General features: G+C 55.5%; 1 protein-coding gene and 1 long non-coding RNA gene across 16 annotated transcripts in view, besides 4 other annotated features; one reads left to right on the forward strand and one right to left on the reverse strand.

Moving 5' to 3' along the window:
• The window catches only part of LINGO1 (leucine rich repeat and Ig domain containing 1), a 207,874-nt gene that overhangs the window by 39,508 nt on the left and 147,886 nt on the right, over positions 1-20,480 (reverse strand). The window contains exon 1 of one of the 14 annotated variants that reach the window (XM_011522118.3): positions 19,148-19,245. The exons of the other annotated variants lie outside the window; for them this stretch is intronic. The gene's annotated coding sequence lies outside the window, so the exon portion shown is untranslated. Of the gene's footprint in view, positions 1-19,147; positions 19,246-20,480 lie in introns of those variants that run through there. 14 annotated transcript variants of the gene reach the window in all.
• Positions 7,391-8,312: an enhancer, noted in NCBI's record as "H3K27ac-H3K4me1 hESC enhancer chr15:77952267-77953188 (GRCh37/hg19 assembly coordinates)". NCBI's record gives its function as "activates a minimal SCP1, AML or CMV promoter by ChIP-STARR-seq in naive H9 embryonic stem cells {active_cell/tissue: H9 hESC(naive)}" and the evidence as "EXISTENCE:reporter gene assay evidence [ECO:0000049][PMID:30033119]".
• Positions 7,517-15,540, forward strand: LINGO1-AS2 (LINGO1 antisense RNA 2). Of its 2 annotated transcripts, none has more exons than NR_120361.1 (3): positions 7,517-7,649; positions 14,426-14,552; positions 15,137-15,540. It is a non-coding gene; the product is annotated as an LINGO1 antisense RNA 2 (long non-coding RNA). The 2 variants fall into 2 exon arrangements; NR_120362.1 differs by having other exon boundaries at positions 7,517-7,631.
• Positions 14,286-14,786: an enhancer, noted in NCBI's record as "H3K4me1 hESC enhancer chr15:77959162-77959662 (GRCh37/hg19 assembly coordinates)". NCBI's record gives its function as "activates a minimal SCP1, AML or CMV promoter by ChIP-STARR-seq in naive H9 embryonic stem cells {active_cell/tissue: H9 hESC(naive)}" and the evidence as "EXISTENCE:reporter gene assay evidence [ECO:0000049][PMID:30033119]".
• Positions 14,787-15,287: an enhancer, noted in NCBI's record as "H3K4me1 hESC enhancer chr15:77959663-77960163 (GRCh37/hg19 assembly coordinates)". NCBI's record gives its function as "activates a minimal SCP1, AML or CMV promoter by ChIP-STARR-seq in naive H9 embryonic stem cells {active_cell/tissue: H9 hESC(naive)}" and the evidence as "EXISTENCE:reporter gene assay evidence [ECO:0000049][PMID:30033119]".
• Positions 18,805-19,721: an enhancer, noted in NCBI's record as "H3K4me1 hESC enhancer chr15:77963681-77964597 (GRCh37/hg19 assembly coordinates)". NCBI's record gives its function as "activates a minimal SCP1, AML or CMV promoter by ChIP-STARR-seq in primed H9 embryonic stem cells {active_cell/tissue: H9 hESC(primed)}" and the evidence as "EXISTENCE:reporter gene assay evidence [ECO:0000049][PMID:30033119]".

The raw sequence follows: 20,480 nt of genomic DNA on the forward strand, positions 1-20,480 counted from the left end.
CAGAATACGGAAATCACATTTCCCTGTGTCAATATATCCTCCAGGTGACGTCTGTCACTCACGCCCACTCCAGACATACCCTACCTCTCAGCTGTTGCTCCTGCTGTTCTCCACCTGGAACCTGCTCCCATCTCTGCCCAGCTAAGTGGTTCAGGGTCCAGCTTCCATTCCTCCTTCACCAGGGAGTCCTGGATTTTTCCAGCCCAGTGGTGGTCAATGGCCAGCACAGTGCGGGAGGAGGGAAGGAAACTGGGCTTAACCTACAGCCTGTCTGGTCTGTGCCATGGCTGGCAATCAGTGACCCTTCCTGGAGGGAGTGTGCCTCTGTCGCCCCACCTGGCTTTTGTGTTTCCTTCCCTGACTGTGAGCTATTGCCGGGGAGTGCATGGTTTGACCCTCAGGGCCCAGCCCAGTGGGTGTAGGGCCACACAGGGTGGATGGATCAGGTCTCTCTCCTATTTGAGCCACCTCAGATTGGGAAGGGGGAAATGCAGATTGGCAAAGAAGCTCTCAGAATCCTGATGTCAAAGGTGGGGACACGGACATAGGCCAACCCCTTAATTGGGGGAGACTGAGTCCCAAAGAGGAAAAGTGACTTGCCCAAGGTCACACAGCCTTGTGGTTTTGGACTCAAGGTTGATGGTCAAGGTGGCTCTGGATTCCAGGGGTCTTGAGGCTCCATCTGCTGCTCCAGGTTTCTGTGAGCTCAAGTGACCCCAAAGTCTTTAGTCACTGTCCTTGCCTGCTGTTCTTTCCCCACCAGGCCTTGGCTACTCATCTTGAACTGACCCTAGACTCTAGGGCAGACCTGTGGCCTCCAGCCAGGGAGGTTGGTATCTTCCTGAGGAATGAGGGAAGTTGCTGAGTGACAGGGGCCTCCCCAGCCTGGTGGGCCATCCAGACTACCCCAGGCCCTCTTGGTATTGAATGGAACATTTGTTGAGTGGAATTGAATTAACTGTTCGATTGCAGGAGATGTAATTTGATCTGGATCTTATGAAGCCCTTAATAAAGTCAAGGTATTACTGGTATCTGCTGCTTTTTCATCTGTTAAACGAGGCACGGGACCAGGGGCAGGTTACCCAGCTGGGAGTGAGGGTGTCCGTCCGCTCTTCCTGCCTTAGCTGCCACCATGCCATGTGCCCCTCGGGAAGTTGCTACTTGTCTCTACCCCAGAAGCAAAAGTCTTCCTGCTCAACTTAGGGAGTGCCTATCAACCCTAACAGTCCATCTGAAAGAGATGGCTCGGAAAGGAAGAGGGGTTGGATCTCTTTGGAGCTGGGGTGGAGGGGAAAAGAGTAACATTTATTAGGTACCTTCTGTGTGCCAAGCTCCCATTCCCTTCAGTTCACTGAATGTTGACAGCATCCCTGTGTGCTAGTTCCCTGTGAGAGTCATTAAGGAATGTTAACTAATATACCAATTTTCTTCCTCTTAGGCACTTGGTGTGGAACTGCAGTTCTCTGTCCCCTTTAACATTAGGTATGGCCATGTGACTTGCTTTTGGCCAATGACATGTTAGTGGAAGTTACAAGTGTCATTTACAAGAGAAGGCTTTAAGACCCAGGGTGGCCTTGGCCTCGCCTCTTCCTGCTACCATGGTAACTGATGCACAGGTAGAGATGGTAGGCACTTCCTCAGCCTGGGGTCCTCAATGAGGAGTGGATATCCCGTGCTTGGAATGGGGGTGAGAAATTACCGTGAGTTGTTTGAAATCTCTGAGATTTTGAGGTTGTTTGTTACTGCAGCAAAACCTAGCCTAGCCTGACTGCTCCAGTGCCACTATTTTCTGGATGACAAAAGGGAGGCTCAGAAAGGTCCAGAAATTTGCTGGGGGGAACCAGGGTAAGTGAGTGGCAAAGTTAAGAGTCAGTCTTAATCCATCGGATGCCAAGACCATGCTCTTCCCTAAGTAGAGGGGTCCTGGGGCTACCTCAGGCTGGCTAGGTATGGTTAGAGCCCAGCTGGTGGGGATTGGGGCTGGGGTCTCAGCACCTATTTCTCCTAATTTCCAACCCATCACTGAGCACAATGCCCCTGAAATCCTCTCTGTGGCCCACCGGAGATGCTAGATAGGGGCCTCCAGTCTGTGAGAGGTGGAGGGAGTCATGGGAGAGAGACCTGGAGAGGTCAATGGAAAGGGCTCGAGAGCTGGACAGCGCTGAGTTCTAACCCTGGCTCTGCTGCCACTAGCTGGGTAATCTTGGGTAAGTTACTGTCCTTTTCTGAGCCTCAGTCTTTTCATCCCGTGTTACATGGAAATAATGCTACTTCCCTGGTTATTGTAAGAACGAAATGAGACGTAAAGATCTTGGCACAGAGTAGGACTCAATACTTGGGCTCTGTTGCTATTGGAGGCACCAGCCAGAGCTGAGGTGGCCCTGATGCTCCACGCCCCCGCCCTTTCCTCTCTGCTCAAGGGAACAAAGCCAGACTTCTCTCCTGTTTTCCCTAGACACACCCTAAAGGAGGCTTGCCCGTTCATCTCATGGGTTCCCACTCAGCCCCTAGGGGAGGGAAAAACAGCCATCCATAACCCCATTTATAACTGGGAAATGGCAGTCCAGAGGGTGTCACACCAAGGAAGCTCTGAGAGAGCAATGTCGCAGTGCTGGCCTCTCTTCATGGCAGCTCCACCTACAGGGTCGGGAGGGAACTTCCTGGAAGGAGGGCTGGTTGCCCCAGACACAGCAGGTGAAGTTCCAGGAAGAGGAGCTGGAGAAGAGCTAGAGATTCCACGGGGCCAGTTCTGCTTTGGAGCTGCCCATGTGGCCTGGGTTGGGCCCAGGTTGGTTCTGCCCCAGCTCCCAACTGCCTACTTAACATTCACAGACTTCTTCCTCCCATCCCACCTTCTCCTCTGCCAGGATAGCCCCTCCCTACAATGCCACCTCCCCAAACATAGACACGCTGGGTCCTACCGCCACACCTCTGCTCAAGGTGGGCACTCCTCCGAGATCAGTACCACATCCGTTTGCTCCTCCCTGTGTCCCCAGTGGATGCCGGCAACCGTGACCTGGGTGACCATACCAATAGCAGCTGCCATTTAATGACAGCCACTCTGGCCGCTCCACTGGCTGCACACCACTGGAAACCTTCAAGGTAGGTACCACCATACCCATCTTACAGACTGGAGACACTGAGGCCTAATGAGGTTCATTTGCCAGGGGTATGAAGAGATGGAACCAGATTCACACCCAGGTCTGTCTACCCCAAGCCTGTGTTCTCAGGACACCCAGCCCCAGCTCCTGACGAGACGGTGGGGCTGATGGGTGGACACCGGCCTCTCCTGCCAGCTCCCCACCTTCTCGCCCTCCTCCCAGCCTTCTCCTCCCCATTGCTTGCCTCTGTGTAGTTTCCTGTTCTCCAAGCAGCCTTCCACTTCTGCCCCGGTCACGTGGAGTTCCACTGCCAAGCTACTAAAGCCCAGGAAGTCTGCTGTGGACTCAGGTTAGGGTGGACTCCTGCCCCTGCTGGGACTCTGGGAGCAGGGTCTGCGTCCTCTACCCTCTGCTGCTTCCAGTGTGGCTGCCCACAGGGCTGGGCACTCAGGGGACAGGGGTGACAGTAAGGAACCCAGAAAGGGCCCAAAGAGTTGACTTGAATCTCAGGCAGGATGCAGGGCTGTGTGTTTTAAGGAAGAGGTTTACCCAAGGCCTGGACAACGAATCAGAGAGAACTCCAGACCCCACTTTGGCCCTGGACTGAGCTTTGGGGAAAGGAGGTCCCTGATCAACCCTTGCAGCCCCAGACAGCTCCACTGCTCCCTCCTGGCTGCCTCTGACTCTCTCTCTCTCCCTCCTTGTCTTTTTCCACCCCCTTCCTCTGCCCTTTTTCCCTTCCTAAAAAACACAGAGAAATGGGATTCAGAAGCCTACACCGCCTGCGAAGTATGGTTCAGCCTCCCCAAAAGAGGAAATGCCAGTGTGCGGGTTCTCATGGCAACTCCAGCTCCTCCCCCCGCAGCCGCCCTGCGCCCATATGGTGAGACTCGTGTGGCACCGGCTCAGAGGGGCCTTGGGGTCTGGGGCTTGGGCTGCAACGGGGGCCATGTTGGTTCCCTCGGCTGCCCTGTCCAGAGCTCACCCTCTTGGGCACACGAGACCACCTCCTGCAGGGACTCCCAGTCCTGTCCTCGGCCCTCCCCAGGATGCAGATATGTGGGGTGATATTCAGAAGCTGCCCCCAGTGTGTTAGGCACCCTCTGCCTCCCCCGTCCCTCTGGCTTTGTCCATGATACATGCCCTGGACTTTGGGAGTTCCATGTTAGGTGTGGAGGGATGGGGAAAACAGGAGTGCAGCCAGGAGCTGGTTTCTTTGTCCCTGGCAGTGGCACCCTGGCTGCCAGCCCCACCCCATCCCAAGCTACTGCACAGGTGCCCAGCAGTCCTGGTCTCTGAGCTGTGCAGTGAGGGAGCAAGGCTTGAGCCCTCGCTTTGGCTGAGCTGCCACAGGACACTGCCCCTTCATGCCCCTAAACTCTCCCCGTGCCCACCCAGGGCAGCTCCTACCAGCTGTGTGGACTCTTGGTTTTCGAGGACAGTTGGCATTTCCATGACATATAAAATGGAAGCTAATGCCAGGCAAGCTTGGGGACTGGAGGGATGGCAGCTGAGGAGCAAATCTTCTAAGGCTTGATACTCATCCTGCCTCTTTTTCTAGGGCTCAGACAGGGATGCCTGGGTCCCTGGTACTGCCTGGCTCCTCCTCCCTCCCCTGACCTCAGGTAGCTGCCCCAGACCTCAGCTAGTCATGGGGCATCTTGAAAGAACCACCCTGGGCAGGCTAGGTGGATGAGGGGCCGGGGGTGGGGGAACGCAAGCCCCAAGCCTGAGGGCAGTGAAGGTTGGGACCCACTCAGTGTTCATGAATGTGGCCCCTTCACCAGCTCAGGCCATTCTCTCTGGGTGTCCTGAATCCCCAAACTCCCCATCTTGATCCCTCCTGCACACTCCATTTCCAACTCTTCTCCCCAGACATTCCCATGACTATCAGAATCAAGGAACCCCAAAGGGGATAGGCTTGACCCCTAGGAGCACACAGATGGGGCCCAGAGAGGGTTAGAGCTCTACAAGGTCACACAGCGAGCCTGGGGTAAAGCCGGGCCCAGAAGTAGGTCCCCTGCCTCCCTGCCCAGGGTCCTCTGAAGGGCCCAAGCTGCTTCCTCTGAGGATCTCTCCCCCTCAACTGAAGGAAGGAGGGATGGATTTAGGGGGGCAGGGAGTAGAGATTCGGGAACAGATGGACTTGGAGGCTCCGCCGCGGGGGCTTGAGGGAGGGGGAGGAGGCCCGGAGAAACTGGAACTGTTACAAAGTTGCGAGTTAAAACATTCTTCACACTCCCGCCTCCTTTACTGTTCTGATGCACCAAGACGTGACAAAAATGTGTCAGATTTTTAAAAAACCGCACACACACACAAATGCCAGTCCCCGTCTCTGCCGCCCGCCCAAGCTTGGGCCATCTGTTTCCCGGGGGTGGGAGGGGAGTGGGGCTTGGCAGTCGGCACCATCACTCTGGATGCCCCCAACCTGGGGTCTGGACCAACGGCCTGGCCCAGAAATGGCCCTCAGGTGACGGCGGGATGTCTAGGAAGGTGAGGACTGTGACACTTCCCCGTCAGCAGGGCCGCCCTGCCCTGCCCACCCTGGAGTCCGGCGCATGCCCAGCCCTTCACACCGAGCTGGGCAGTAGCTCTTCTCTTCACTTCCTGCATGTGGGGGCACTGGGGCTTGGAGAGCCCTCTCTGGGACTCCCAAAGCCCACCCTTGTAGTACAGATGGGAAACTGAGGCCCAGAGAGGAGAGGAGAGGCCAGGTCCACAGTGAAACAGTCTGTGTACACACTTCACCCATTCGCTCAACAAACACTGACCAGGCATGCTCTGGTGCTGGTGCTGAGCACCGTTCTCACCGCACGTGGTTCTGGGCAAGGGGGACTCAGTGCTGAACTGGCAGATGCAGGCTTGTTCTCCAGCAGCTCAAGGCCAGGGGAAGGCAGCCGATCCGCAAGTAATAACAGACTGACAAACTGGGACTTCCAACAAAAGAAAGAGGAAGAAAAGAAAGCAGGCAGGCCTGGCAGTAGGGACTGGAAAGAAATGAGGGTGACCAATCATCCCCATTTGTCTGGGAATGTCTGCTTTCAGCACTAAGAGTTTTGCATCCTAGGAGACACCTCGGTTCTGGGCAAACCAGGATGACTGTCACCTGAAGGCTACTTTAGGTTGAGTACACTTGAGCTGAGTCCTGAACATGATGAAACCAGCAATGTGAAGATCTGGGGGGCAACAGAGGAGCTAAGACTGAGCGAGGACGGAGTGGGAGAGGAGCAGGGGAAAGGGAGGCAGGCAGATCACAAAGGGCCCGTGGGCCCTGGAATAGAGTGGAGTGGAGATTTTATCTAGTCACAGGATTCAATTTTATTGTGGTCATTGAGTCAAACTAGGGAGCAGCTTGGTGCAAAGGTCACAGATTGTAGAGAATTTTAAAAATTCATTAAGGTTGGAGCCCTGGGGGCAAGGGCAGTGGCTTGGGTGCCTGGAGAAGCTGGCTGGGACTAGATCTGAAGCTTCCTCAGGGAGCTGGGACTTCAGCCGTAGGGCAATGGGAGCCACTGAAGCGTATAAGCAGGGCTTGATGGGGTTAGATTTGCAAGGAAAAAACCCTAATGCTCTGGGCTGGTCATGGCTCTGTACAGGACCCTTTCCTGCCGTCCCCAGAACACCATGCACCACTGTCCCCACTCCCAAACCTTAGGGAGTCCTGTCATCTTCCAAGACCCAGCCCAAATGCCACCTCTTCTAAGAAGTCTTCCCTGACTTGCTGAGAGAGACAGGTGCAATCATGCCCTACCTAGGACTCCCCCATCCAAGGACCCTCAAGCAGAGGTCTCAAGGGAGCCCTCATCACAATGGACACTCTTTCGGTTCCCACTTTGTCACAGTGGATCCTTAAGGCCATCTGACCAGAACCATGTTCCAGTTGTGGACATGGAGGCTCAGAGAGGGCATGTAGTTTGCCTGAGACCACACAGCAGTTGAAGTGTGAGGTCAGTTCAGAACCATGTCACCTCTGTCTGAGTTCAGAGTCCCTGGGCTCCTGCCTACAGGGGTAGTGGATGGGGAGAAGCAAAGAGTGGCCAGTCACCTTCCCACACAGGAACAGAGGAGTGGTCATTACCATGGGGGGCTGGATGGGATGGACCATGGGGCGTGCCACCTGGCCAGCTGGCAGATTTATAATGGAAGTCTCCCAGATCAATTACTGTATTACCAGGCAGCCTGACCTTGAAAGCTGGTGGGGCGGGAGAGGCTGGGGTGGGGTGGGGTGGGGCCAGCCTAGAGCAGCTGCCTAGCCTCCTCCAGCAGAGGGCACCCTGGGAACCAGAAGACCTCCTGGTGGAGAGGAAAGGGGCGGGGCCTGGAATCGTACCATTATTGCACATTCTTCTGTTTAAAATAGTGAAAGTCCTTGTTAGAATGCAATAAACCCTTCCCTACACTATGCTCCAGGAAGAGATCATCAGACCATTCTGAAGAGGAGGAGTTGGCACAGTTACTTCTCCTCTCTGAGCCTCGATCTCCCTGCCGGCAAAATGGGGATCCTTGTCCCAGCTCCACTCACTCTATAGGGTTCGTTTGAGGCTCATGGTAAATAGGCTTAGAAATGGGCCCTCGGGCATGTCCAGCCTGGAGTAGAGTCAAGGGTGTCCAGGGGGCCAGGCGGAGGTTCAGCCATGGTAAGACGTGGAGGGGTGCCGAGGCCTCAGAGGACATTACTTCTGATTCCTCCCACAGTCTGTGTGATGATACTCGGCGCCAAGGGACTTTCTCAGGGGTGCTCTGAGATCCGGAGGGGAGGGTGCCTGGCCTGAAGCCCCACCCTTGCAGGCATCTCATGGGAGAATGGTGAGCCCTGGGGGGAGAGCAGAGTCTCCCTTGCTCTCCCGAGGCGACCTCAGCAGATGCCTGACATGGTTTGCAGCAACAGCTGGGCTCTATTCTCTGTACCAAGTGGGAGCAGGGATGGAGCCCTGGAGGAGGGAGAAGTTTGCCTCTTGCTCCCTCAGTTTCCCTTTGTCAACATTTCTCCTTAAACTCCCACCAATTAGAAATTCATTCGGGCTAGTGGATGAATTAAGGGACTTCATACATGCACAGTGTTTAGAACAGTGCCTTCCTGGCCTGGGTGGACAGGCAGAGAGTGGAGGGTGAGTAGCCTTCAAGGGCTGAGAGTCTGTCTGTAGTTTTCCCAGTGTCTGGTTTGGGAGTAGAGGAATGCACAGAGGCAGGGATGAGATCCCTGCCTGGAGCACAGGCCTCTTCCCAAGACAGGCGGGAGGGATGGATGGAGGGCTGCGGCTGTGCCTGAGCCTGGCTGCCTGCTCATCACAGTGCTGGGCACTGCAGGGAGAGTTTGGGGAGACAGGACAGGGTCAGGGGGTGATTATGGGCAAACAGAGTGGAAAATGAAGGCCTTCAGCTGGCAAATGAGTTTAACAGAAATGAGATGGGCAGAGGCTGTGATGAGAATTGCAATGCTGGGCAAAGGCGAGCCGATTTTCAAACTGGCCTGGGTGGGCAGGCTGGGATGGGTTAGCTTCATCCCTTGCCCTCAGGAGCCAGCCAGGTTGCAGGGACAGTGCCTGAGCCCCCAGACCCACCCCACACCAAGAAGGCAGAGGGACAGAGAGACCTTTGGATTGACAAGATCTCGCATGAGTGGTGGGATGAAATTAAAGCAGGAGGGACTGTGGTCAGACTTGCAGAAGAAGTTCTTGGACAGCATGGGAACAAACAGGGAAGGCTGGGAAGTCCTGGGGACAAGCTGCCCCCAATGCCCACCCTCCCAGAGGAGCTACTCCCAGCTCTGCCTCAGGCAGCAAGCAGAGCCTCCTCGCTGAGGGTATTCAGCTGTGGAAGACCTCCCAGAGGCAGGCCTCTCTTTGGGTCTCAGTTTGGATATCTATGAAATGGGAATGACAGTGCCTTGCCAGTTCATTTGAAGCCCCCAATGAGACTCAGCGCCAGACACTATCTGTTTCCTGGGTTGGGCCACCATCCCTGAGAGGGCAGAAGGCAAGACCTTCTCTGGCCCGAGGGCTCAAACACTGCTGGGTAAACAGCCTGAAGTGTGCCTCACAGCACCCTAGACCCTTGTCCTCTTTCCCCTACTGATCGCCCCACCCTCTGCTTCTTTTTCCCTCCTGCCCTTCCCAGCGGGGCCTGAGCAAACAGAGACAGCATGGCCCACATCTCACACAGGGACAGGCCAGCCCTCTACCTTTGCTGGGCCTCAGTTTCCCTGTGTGGACAAGGGCTGTGCTGACCCAGAGAGTCTTGGAGACCCTTCCAGGGCCCATGGTCTGGAGGAGAGGATGCTGTCTCTGATTCTTTCCCAATCCTCATGGGCCACTCCTGCCCAGGATGCTGCCTGCACCCACCCTGCCCGACTCCCCTCAACGGGAGCTTCCATGACCTCTGGATGGGGCAAGAGGAGATGGTAGGTAGGTTGAGGCAAGAGCCACTTCCAGTACAATAACTTATAACTGGCTGACAGATTGAATTAGACCTTTTCCAGCTCCATACCCCATTGATCCAGGAGGACCCACATATGTGAGTGTGTGTGACCCTGGCCTACACAGTTCTGGGGCCCCAGTGCACAGCCCCAGTCAGGTAGGGTTAGCAGAGGGAAGGCGTGGTACTGGTAGCTCCTACCCCCACCCCACCCTGCTCAGCTGCCCCAGCTCCTGCCCAAGGGGCCTCTGAGCACTAAGTTACAGCTTGGCCTGGCTGTGGGGAATGAGAGAAGGGCGGTCAGAGGGAGGAAGGATGGGGTTGGCTGGAGCCCTTGGGGATGAGGGGGCAGGAAACCCTTTTCTATGAGGTTCTCAAAGAGGGAACAGGCTGCCCAGCCCCAACTGAGAACATGACCCCACCCTCACCTTCTCTCAAAGCCAATACCCTCCACCCTCTCTTGAAGCCTTTCCAGCCCCCTCTAACTCCTCTTTAGCAGCCCCCAGCTCAAGGCCAAGGACTAGCTTCCTTGGCCCTGGGTTTCCCTGAATGCCCAGCCTGGGGGTCTCTACTCCATGAAGGGCTGGTGGGTGAAGGCAGGCCTGCCTGCCTCTCTGTGACCTAAAAATCAATCCTTTTAGCCCCTTCTGAAGCCAGAAGGTCTCTGGTTCTATATTTTAAAATACTTTGAAGTCGATGGACTGACTCCTGAGCCATCCTGTGCACATGTGCCCTCAGCTTGGTCACACGCAGGCACACACACTGCACATGTGTATACCAACAGATGCACACGATGACAGCAATATTTCAGTAGCTGACCACCGCACAGAACCCACACTCCCTGGGCTGGGAAAAAGACAGGCACTGCAGGAGGCTCTGGGACAAGCAAGGCCCCTGCAGGAAGGAAGCCGGTGCTTCACCACACTCGAAAGGCAGGACTCCGCCTCTGGGGGAAGGTGGGGATGCCGGGGGTCACCCCCAACCTGACAGGCTTTTTGAGGATCAGCCTCACCTCCATAGACATCCAGTCCAGGGCTAAGTCTGCCCCAGTGGCATCTGGAAGTCCTTCCTAATATCTAACTTAAATCAAATCAACCATCTCTTCCTGCATTCAGTAAACATTCCCCACGCATGGCCATGCCCTGGTAGAAGGAAGCAGAGATGTGCTGGGTCACCTAGAACTGTGTGCGGTGCGAGGGCGGAAGAAGAAAGCGGCTTTGGTGTCTATCAGTGGTCGGGGGTGGGGAGGCTTCCAGGATCCCTGGGTGGCTTAAACGGTGGTCATTCCCCATGATTCAGTTTTCTTGGCTAAATAGGGCCTGGTTCAGGCAGGAAACCCTGCCACCTCCCCCTGCCACCCAGTCCAGTGAACGTCTGCCTGAGCTCACTGGTGGGGTAGAACTCCACCCTGGACTTTGGTCCTGTCTAGGGGACCCGTTTAACCACTCAGGGCTTTAGCTAAATCCCCACCCAAGATGTATCCTGAAATGGCAGTGACATCTTCAGGTATTTATCTGCCCTTCTCTCAGAAACCCCTTCCCACCTCTGAGGCATCCTACCCAGACCCCCAGCCCCTGCCCCACTGCCTGAAATCCCACCAGTAGGGGTCCTTCCTCAGTGTTTGGGTGTTCTCTGCGTGGGGGTGCGCTTACACGCCCCAGTTCCAGAGATACGGGCCTCCCCTACCACTCTGCCGCTCATATCCCAAGTCCCAGGGGCTGAAGCTGAAGGGTCGAGTGGGGGATGGGGAGAGCCTCTGTCACCCTCCATGCAATCAGCTGAGTGTGGCATAAATGACCCATGAGTCCTGGGGCCTGGCAGAGGAAATGCTCAGGCCCAAGAGTGAGGTCACCTGGACAGGGAGGCCCAGGGAGGGGCTAAGCAGGGCAAGCCTGGGCTCCCAAGGCAGAGCCCCTCTGGCAGAGGCTGGGGCAGGACCCGGGCAAGCCTTGCCTTCGGACCTCGGCTGAGCGTGCAACACCAAGCATCTGCTGGGGAAGGTGGGGAGCTGCCACAGAGCCTTCCCTGGGAGACTGACCCAGATTTCTCTCTCCCTTCCTCTCTTCTGCCACACAGGAGCAGTGTGTGTGTGTGTGTGTGTGTGTGTGTGTGTGTGTGTGTGCGCGCGCGCATGCGTTTGCATTCTCAGCCCTGGCAGGCGGAGGGGTGGAAAGGGAGGAGGCTTGCTGAAAGCTCTGGGAAATGAGACAGAAATCCTCCCCAAATCCCTGGCCACTGTCACTAATAGCTGAAATACGCTCTTGACAACAAGGTGAAAGTCCCTGGATGCTGGGGCCTGGCCTTGCCACCAGGAGCTGGTGCCCCAGGCCTGTCTGTTATGGGAAGGCCCCAGGCCTTGTGGATGGTTGGGGGGTCATGGCCAAGCCCTGACCCCATCCTCTGGCACTCCTGACATCTCCTTTCGAGGCAACGTCCCATAGGTTCCCCAGGCGCTTCCCTGGGAAGCAGTGAGCTCCCGGTCAGGAGAGCAGTGTAAGTGGCTGGGGAGGGTAGGTCAGCATCCTGTGGCAGGCACTCAGGTATGTGTGGGGAGGTGGCTTGCACAAAAGAGAGCTGGAGGGCTCCTCCCAGCCTGAGCTGTTTCTTTGATGCCTACTTCTATCCACCAGGAGCCCCTACCTGGTCCAAGTTGGCTGGCCTTGTCCCCAGGAGGCCAAACCTCAGGACTCAGGGGGAGGGCCTTGAGATGGGCCAGGGAGGGCTGGACCCAGGCCTGAGAGCAGCAAGTTCCGGAGCATCTGACTCCAGTGGGAGGGGAAGGGTGTGTCCCTGTGGGGCTGCTGGCCGTGGCAGGGGCTCTTGTACACACATACAGATACAGAATTGTACTTGAAGGGACAGCTCCTTCAGACTTGTAAACACACAGCTGTACACATATGACACACATACAGAGATCTGCATGTGCAAACAGAGGCATGCTTGTACACACGTGTGCCTGAGCTCATACAGAGGTGGGCGCACATCTTGGTATACAGGTCCCTGCCTGTGCACATGTGGGCAGGGACGCCTGGTTCCCTTGTGGGCTGTTCTGAGCCCCATGAGGTGTATGAGAGACATTTTCCCCAGAGACTGTCCACAGGATGTTCAAGCCAAATCCTCGAAAAGCTTCCAGAGGTGACTCCAGAGGCAAGCCCTCTCCTCTGCCAGCACTCAAGGCCCCTTGCCCAACCCTCAGCCTTCTGGTGGGCTCTGTGTCATGTCCTCTCCAGCCAGGCCTTTCCTGCCTTGCTCCATGCTTGGCAGATACCACGCTTTGCCCTGTACCCTGACAGCTAGAGCCCTGCTCCTTGTCAAGGACCCCAACATCCTGCTAGAGGGCAGTGGGAACCTCCTGCTCACCCACTGCTTGTGTGTGACCCTGGGTAGGGTTCTGCCACTGCCTGGGCCTCAGTCTCTCTTCTGCCTATTGGAGGGGCTGCTTTGAGGCCTGGGAGCTCTGAGACCTGGGAGACCCAGCACAGATGAGTGCAACCATAGTTGCGAGTGCCCTTCAGGCCAGCCCAAGCCCAGGTGGCCCTTTCCTGAACCCAAGGAATATCCTTTGTCCTCACACATCCCCTCCACAGCTAGCTGGCTTAGTCGCCATGCTGGGAATTCCACCCGCCTGCAGACGCTGACCTGCCCACACCGCACCCTCCGCCAGGCAGGTGAGGTGAGATGCTGAGCTGACCCGCCTCCAGGCTGCCCTGCATGTGTCCTGGGCCCTTTCAGACCCAGGGCCTTTGCACAGGCAGTTCCCTCTGCCTGTGGTACTCATTCCTCTCCCTCAGCCTAAAAACACCTCCTTTTCCTCAGTGAATCCATTCAAGTGTTTGCTCTTCTGTGCAGCCTCTCTCCCCCATCCCAGCCACCCCCACACGGTGCTCTGGTTCTGGCTCACTGAGCAAGTTTTCCCCAGCACTGGTGAGCCCTGGCTATGCTTCCCCACCACCAAGGCCATGGGCTCCCCCAGGGCACAGCGAGGACCTGTTTATCTCAGTGTGCTTGGACCCTCCAGAGGGCCTGGCTCAGAGCACACAGCATCCAGCAAGTGTTGGCTGAATGAATGAATGAATGAATGAGTGAATGAATGAATGACATGAACATGTGGACATCTCCGCCAAGTCCTGTCTATGAGCTGAGACACAAGTTTCCGAGGTCCCCTTTGAGTGGGTGTTCCTTGGTGGGCAGGGCTGCCTCTCTCTGCCTCAAGGAGTCTTGCAGTCAGAGGCTCGCCTCTCATTCAGCAAACAGCCCTGGTGGAGGACCTGTTGTTAGAAAGTGTGCAGCGCTCCTGGGGGCAGCAGGCACACATCAGAGAACATGGGAGGGAGCCATGGGGCCTGCGTAATATGGGGCTAAGATGAGTGTGCTGTCGTCACTACTACCCTCATCTGCTGATTACCGTGAGCCGGCACTGGGTGAGGGGCTGGGGATTAGCCTCTGCCTGCCCTGGGGAGCACACAGGGGAAGAGATGCAGGTGAAGGAAATGACTTAGGGGCTGAAGCTGGAGGCAGAGGAGGGTGATGGCTCAGTAGAAGAGCTTGGGAGCCACACAGCCTGATTCATGCTGCCCACCACTTAACAACCTTGTGATCTGGAGCAGCTAACTTAATCTCCTTGCATCTCAGTTTTCCTTCTCTATAAAATGGAATGCTAAGTATATTTGCTCCATAGCATTGTTATGAAGATCAAATGCTTGTAAGATGCTTTTAACAGTGCCTGGCACATCATAAGCACTCAAAAAACAAGCCCTGCCACTATGAGTTGTTGGATCATTAGTTCAGAGCAGCCCCAGACTAGGCATGTAGCAAATGGGCAGGCTGGCAGCACAGGAGACAGGCAGGTGGCAAGGGCTGAGGAACTCAGCCTCTCTGAATGATAAGTGGCTTGGCTTCTTGTGTTCAAGGAATGAAAAGATCTAAAGAAGTCTGGCCAGAGGGACACTGAGATGAGCAATGTGGTTGGAGGAGAGGATACTGACCCAAGAATTCTCTGGATAAGAAGAAGGAGGAGGGGAAGCCTGAAGTGGATGGGTAAGGAGGGTCTGGGGTCTGGGAGTGCTAATCCTAGCCTTTCTGATCCTAACAGTGCATGGATGAGGGGGGCATGTGATTGCCTTGCTGTGGAGGTCAGCACCAGCAGAGCTGTGCAGATCGGAGTGTGGCCGGGGGCAAGGGAGGGGAGCGCATTCTCCCACTGGAGGAGCAGAGCATAGGGCTGAGGAGCTGCTCTCCCACCTCCGGCTATCTGGATGGCCCTCAATGGAGCCCTTCTAGGCTGTGGGTGCTCGGGCTGAGGTTTGTGGATCTTCCCAGGGATGTGGAGCCTGCTCTTCAGGCCAAGCCATCCTAGCAGAATAGGGAGGGGCGAGGGGCCATGGAGTGAAGGAGGCAGCTGCTGAATATGTGAGATGAGGGGTGCTCTCAGGGGACTGGGCTCGAGGACAGCAAGTCCCTGGTGCAGGAGGGAAGTGGGTGGACTTTCTTCTCTTGCTCAGCCCCGCTGAGTCTCTTGCTGTCTACCTAAGGCCACCCCCTCCTATCCCACCATCAGCCTTGTCAGTGTGACATTAATGGGCTGACATTAACAAGCCAGAGCTCCTCCACTTGTCTGCCAGGTCGAGCCTCAGCTGTGGAAGAATTGCTAATTACAGCCACCATAAGGAAATATCAATGATGGACGTCAATATTATTGCCTCCTGCATCCCTGCCTGTTTATTTGGAGATGAAAAGCGCCCTAGGGTCATCTCTCCAGGACGAAGATGAGTGATGACAGAAGGGAGGAGAGCTACACATGGAGAAAAGGGCATCCTCCAGCTGGATTCATTCATGAAACCAGGACCCATTTCCTCTGGGCAGAGTTCTCTCCACTGAGGGCCCAGGGCTGGGGCTGAGGGCAAAGGAACCTGCACAGGGAGGAGGAACTAGTGATCCTGCTCCCAGCCCTGGTTCACCAAGTGACTGCATGTATGCCTCTTTGTGCCTCAGTTAACTCATCTGATAAATGGGTATGACAATTCCAGTCCTGCCTACCTTGTGCATTGTGAGGAAGTGAATGAGGTGCAAAATCAGGGTTTTAGAAGGACGACCCATGGTGCAAATGCAGGGGCTTCGTGGGCTGGAGGAGACACGTGGGGTAGCTGAGCAACTGGAAGGCACCAGCAAAGGGATGCACATGTCCCAGCTCAGTGAACTCTCTGAAGCAAATATCCTCCCAACCATCCCCTATCAAGCACTTTGGTGGAAATCAAACAAACACTAAACACAAACACTAAAGCCAGAGAGAAGAGGGGAAAGCTTGACTCAAATGTGTAGTTGGTCTGGTGTCTCTGAGCCCCTGAGCCTGTGGGGACTTGCAAGGCTTCCAATCCACACCCTAAAACCTGCATGTAATGCCAGTCACAGGCTGAACTGTCACGCAGGGCAGCCCTTCATCCGCTGAGAGAATCTCCCAGGCGTGCATACCCCTATTCAGAGAAACAGGGGCCCAGTTGAGAAGCCCCTTTAGAGACAACCTGGACTGTCAGAGAAATGCACTTTACGTGCCAGGGTCACGACGCATGCGCAGGAATACATCCACATGGCAAGTTCATGACAGTGTGCAGAGACTAGAAATAGGCAAGCACACACACACAGAAGCACAGCCCCAGAGACACACGTGGAAACACATACATTGTACGGTATTCAACACACATATACACACACACAGGGGAGCTGCCCTGGGGAGCTCACAGGGGAATACACACACACACACACACACACACACACACACACACACACACACAGAGCATCTTAGGTCCCAAACTGGGTTCTTCCTAGCCCTTGGGGAACCTCTCCCTGTTGAGAAGGAAATAAAAAATCCCATGTGGTCTTCAGACACATGTGGCCTCTCAAGCCACGGACAAGCCAAGCAGCAGCAACTAGACGCTGGGAAGCAAAGCCCAGCGTGGCCTGAATATTTCACAGGAGATTTTGCTTCACAGAAAATCCCTTCTTCGCCGCTGTGCATGTCAGGGTATAATTACCTGTTAGGTAGCAGAGCAGAAACCTGGGAGGATGTGTGCACAGCTTCTGGCCTGGGCCGCCACTGGGCCTCTGCCTCTGCTGCAGGCCTGGCAAGGGCCATCCTGTCTCTCACCTGCTCCCACCAGGGGCCAGAGAGAGGACAACTGGATGCCACTTTGGGACATAGAGTGTCCTGGCTTAGGGTCGCCTCTGCTCCAGGTCCTCAGACTCTGCCAGCCCCTAGCTGAGGAAGAGCCAAAGTCCCCCATCCCTTTGCCTCCCACAGCATCTCCCCCAGCTCTTCAGCAAGAGCACAGAGCCACATCTCATCTCACTCCTTCATCTTCCCCCTTCACCTCGCTAGCCCATCGAGGTGTTTGTAGTCCCCTGAGTGAATGGCAGGGAAAACCGAGAGAGGTACACACCAGAGGAAGGGAGAGAGGACATCCTGGCTGGGCCCTGGAGACCCTGGAACACTCTCCCTCACTCCTTTTGTCCTAGAAAATGTCCACACAGGCTAAGCTAAGCTCAGATTGGATCTCCTCCAGGAAGCCCTCTGGGACTGCTCCCAGGGTCAGGAGCCTTCTCTGGCTCCCATAGCCCACTGTGTTCCTCTCCATCACTGTTCAGTAATCAAGGGCTGAAAACCTAGATGCCTACAGGGGCCAGGGAAGGAATGAAAGTGAGTGAAGGGGCAAAGATAATGCAACAGCGAGTGGGCAGAACTCACAAACTGGAGAGCATGCCCCTGTCTAATGCCTTTCAAACCACATCGCCTTACGGCCCAGCAACTTAGCACCTAGAAATCGACCCAGGAAAATTGAAAACACTTGTGCACAAATATTCATAGCAGCATTATTCATAAGAGCCAAAAAGTCAAAACCACCCAAATGTTCATGAATGACTATATAAACAAAATGTGTGATAGCCATACGATGGAATATCATTCAGCCAAAAAAAAGAATGAAGTACTGATACACACACACTAGAACATGGATGAGCCTTAAAAACTGTGTGCTGAGCAATGGAAGCCAGGCAGAAAAGCCCACATATTGTATGATTCCATTTCTATGAAATGTCTAGAATATGCAAATCCAAAGAGACAAAAGTAGATTCGTGGTTGCCAGGGCCAGGGAGGAGGGGAGAATGGCGGGTAACTGCTAAAGGGTACAGGGTTTCCTTTCGGGGTGATGAAAATACTCTGGAATTAGATAGTGGTAAGAGTTGCACAATTGGGAATATGCTAAAAATCACTGAACTGTATGCTTTAAAATAGTGACTTTTATGGCATGTGGATTATATTTCAATTTTTTAAAACCAAATTGTTTAAAATGGAACAACACATCCACAAGCCACATGTCTGTCTGCAGCCTCTAATTTTCAACCTCTATTTTACACATTTGTTTCCCTCACAAGAGTGGAAGCTCTGGGAGGGTGGGGCCCTACCCGAGGCACAGCCGTGGTCCCCAGAGCTGGCATCTCAGGGCAGGCACTTGAGCCACAACAGTGACCACAGCACCATGTTAACACAGGGCACACTTCATACTCTGTAAAACCTCTGGTCCAGAGCCATGGCCCCAGTCTCAGGTGAGGCCACTGAGGCCCAGGCTCAAGGTCATTTGCCCTAAGGTCACTTGACAAGCTGGAGGCAGAACTGGGCAGAGAAGCCAGGCCTCCAGACTCGGTGCAGCAGGACCCAGGGCGGCCAGGGGCCAGCTGCTGCTGGGCAGGGAAGATGGGCACAAGAAGGCAGGCAGCTCTGTGGCTGTTTCCTGCCTCAAAGCCCCCAGATCCCTGGGGCCTCAGAATCAAGTCCACCTGCTGGATCTGGCCTCAATCCCCTTTGATGGACAAGCACCACCCCTAGCTCCTCCAGCCCAGGCCCTGTCTATCATCCCTTTGCTCACACAGCCTTTGCTCACATAGGGCCCGCTTCCTGGAAGGCTTTCTCAGGCTTCCCAGGCACCAGGCACAGTTCCTCCCCTCCCAAAAGCCTTACTTCATCACCACCTGACCCTCCCGCAGGGCCCCTCCCCAGCTGAGCCCTTGCAGCACCTCTGGGAGGGTGTGCAGGTGAGTACAAGGGAACAGCGGGACTTGTGCCTGACTGTGGAGCCCTACCCAGGACCTGGGCCAGCCTTGAGCTAGAAGCAAGTCTGATATCTCAGGGTCTGACTGCCAGCAACTAGGTGCAAGGCCAGGATTGGCTGGCAGGGAAAGGGAGGGAAGAGGGGAGAAGAGGGAGAAGGTAGAGGGAGAGAGAAGGAGAGGGATAGGGAGGAGAGGGGGTGAGAAGGGAGGAAGGAGGAGAAGAAAAGAGGTGGGGCGAGATGGAGAGGAAGCACGGGCTGCTCTTAGCCCCAGGGTCCCAGGAAGGCTAAGCCAGAGCCCAACACAGTGATGACGCAGTTGGGCAGCCGGTTACCTTCAGACACATGATGACACAGATGTCACAGATCAGTGCCCCGGGGCAGAGTGAAGCTAGGCAGGGAGGAAGCCCCTTTGGGAGAGAGGCCCCAGCTTTAGACCAGCGGTCCGGTCTCCTTCCTATTCTCCCTGCCCCCATGCAGCAGTGAGGTGGGGAGCAGCGGTGGGCAGGAAGGCGGTCCCCGCCTGGTACCCACCTGGGCCTCCTGCTGTGTCCCAGTTCAGCCTAAGGAGCTCAGCCACCCTCCTGGGTGAGACTTCCAGGGTCAGACCCTTCTGACTGTGGTTACAGACTGAGTCTTGACCCTGGCAGGGTGGACTGGCCCCCAGGAAACTGGAGGAGGCCCCAGATGCCTCACTATCTCCTCCTACGCCACAGGGCTGGGTGACGGATCTGGTCTGTGGGTGTCAGAGACAGGTCCTGGCTCTGAGTGACTGCTGGCAGCTGGGCCTGAGGTGGCTCATGGGCGGCTGATTTCCTGACCTTCCTAAGACCAAACACATGATGAGCCTCTGCCTCCTCCTCCTCCTCCTCCTCCTCCTCCTCCTCCTGAGGCCAAGCACATGGGTACAGGAACACAGCAGGTGTCTAATAGATGCCAGTTCCCTCTCTGAACTCCAGCCCCAAGTTTCCTTAGAGAAGCTGCCACTCCTCTCCCCACCCCGACCCCCACAGTGCTCGCTCCCCAGCTCTCCCCACCTCCCCTCCACATGGACTCAGTGCCGCCTCCCTCTCAAGCCCGGGGGGAAGCTGTAGATTGCTGGGTACCCAACCCTCCCCTTTCACCCCTCCCCTCCCTCCTGGCCTTTCCCAACCCAGATACACATCACACCAGCCCCCACTCAGTGTCCTCAGCTGGCTGTCAGCTAATGCCTGCAGAGGTGTTAACTGATAATTAAGATGTTAGCTGTAAACTTAACGTGTGATTCCCTGCCAGGAGTATTTTGGTCTTAACAGGTTGCTTTTGGAACGGGAAAACCTTCAAGACCCAGCCAAATGGCAGGCAGGGATGCAGAGTGGGGTGTCAGGGGGCGCTCTGTGCCTGGAGACCTTCCAGCCTCCAGAATCCCCTCCTCACCTCTCACTTCACTGAGGACAGAAGGCAGGCATGGGAACCCAGAGCTCTGCCTTTCAGTGTCAGCCCCACACCTGTGAGGCGATGACCCTGGACATGAGATGAAACCTCTTGGAACCTCAGTTTTCTCATCTGCAAATGGTGAGACAGAACGCCGACCCTGAAGAATTGCAGTGCAGGCTGACAGGTAAGGCCCCGTGTGCCTAGCACACAGGAGCCCTTAGAGCTCCTGTTGTCCCCGACTTCCCTTTGCCTCTTCCCACACTGAAGGTAACTGTGTCAGCTTCCACTCCTTCCCCCTCCTCACACCAACTCTGATCAATCACCAAGTCTATTTTCTCAACTTCCTAAATCTCTCCCCAGGCAAAGATCAATGGAATCAAACAGCGAGGTCTGGACAGACATGAGACTTTGGGGACATTTCAGCAGATGACAGGAATGGAGCTTCAGAGCA

Source organism: Homo sapiens, chromosome 15 (assembly GCF_000001405.40).
Source record: "Homo sapiens chromosome 15, GRCh38.p14 Primary Assembly".
Taxonomy (NCBI): Eukaryota; Metazoa; Chordata; class Mammalia; order Primates; family Hominidae; genus Homo; species Homo sapiens.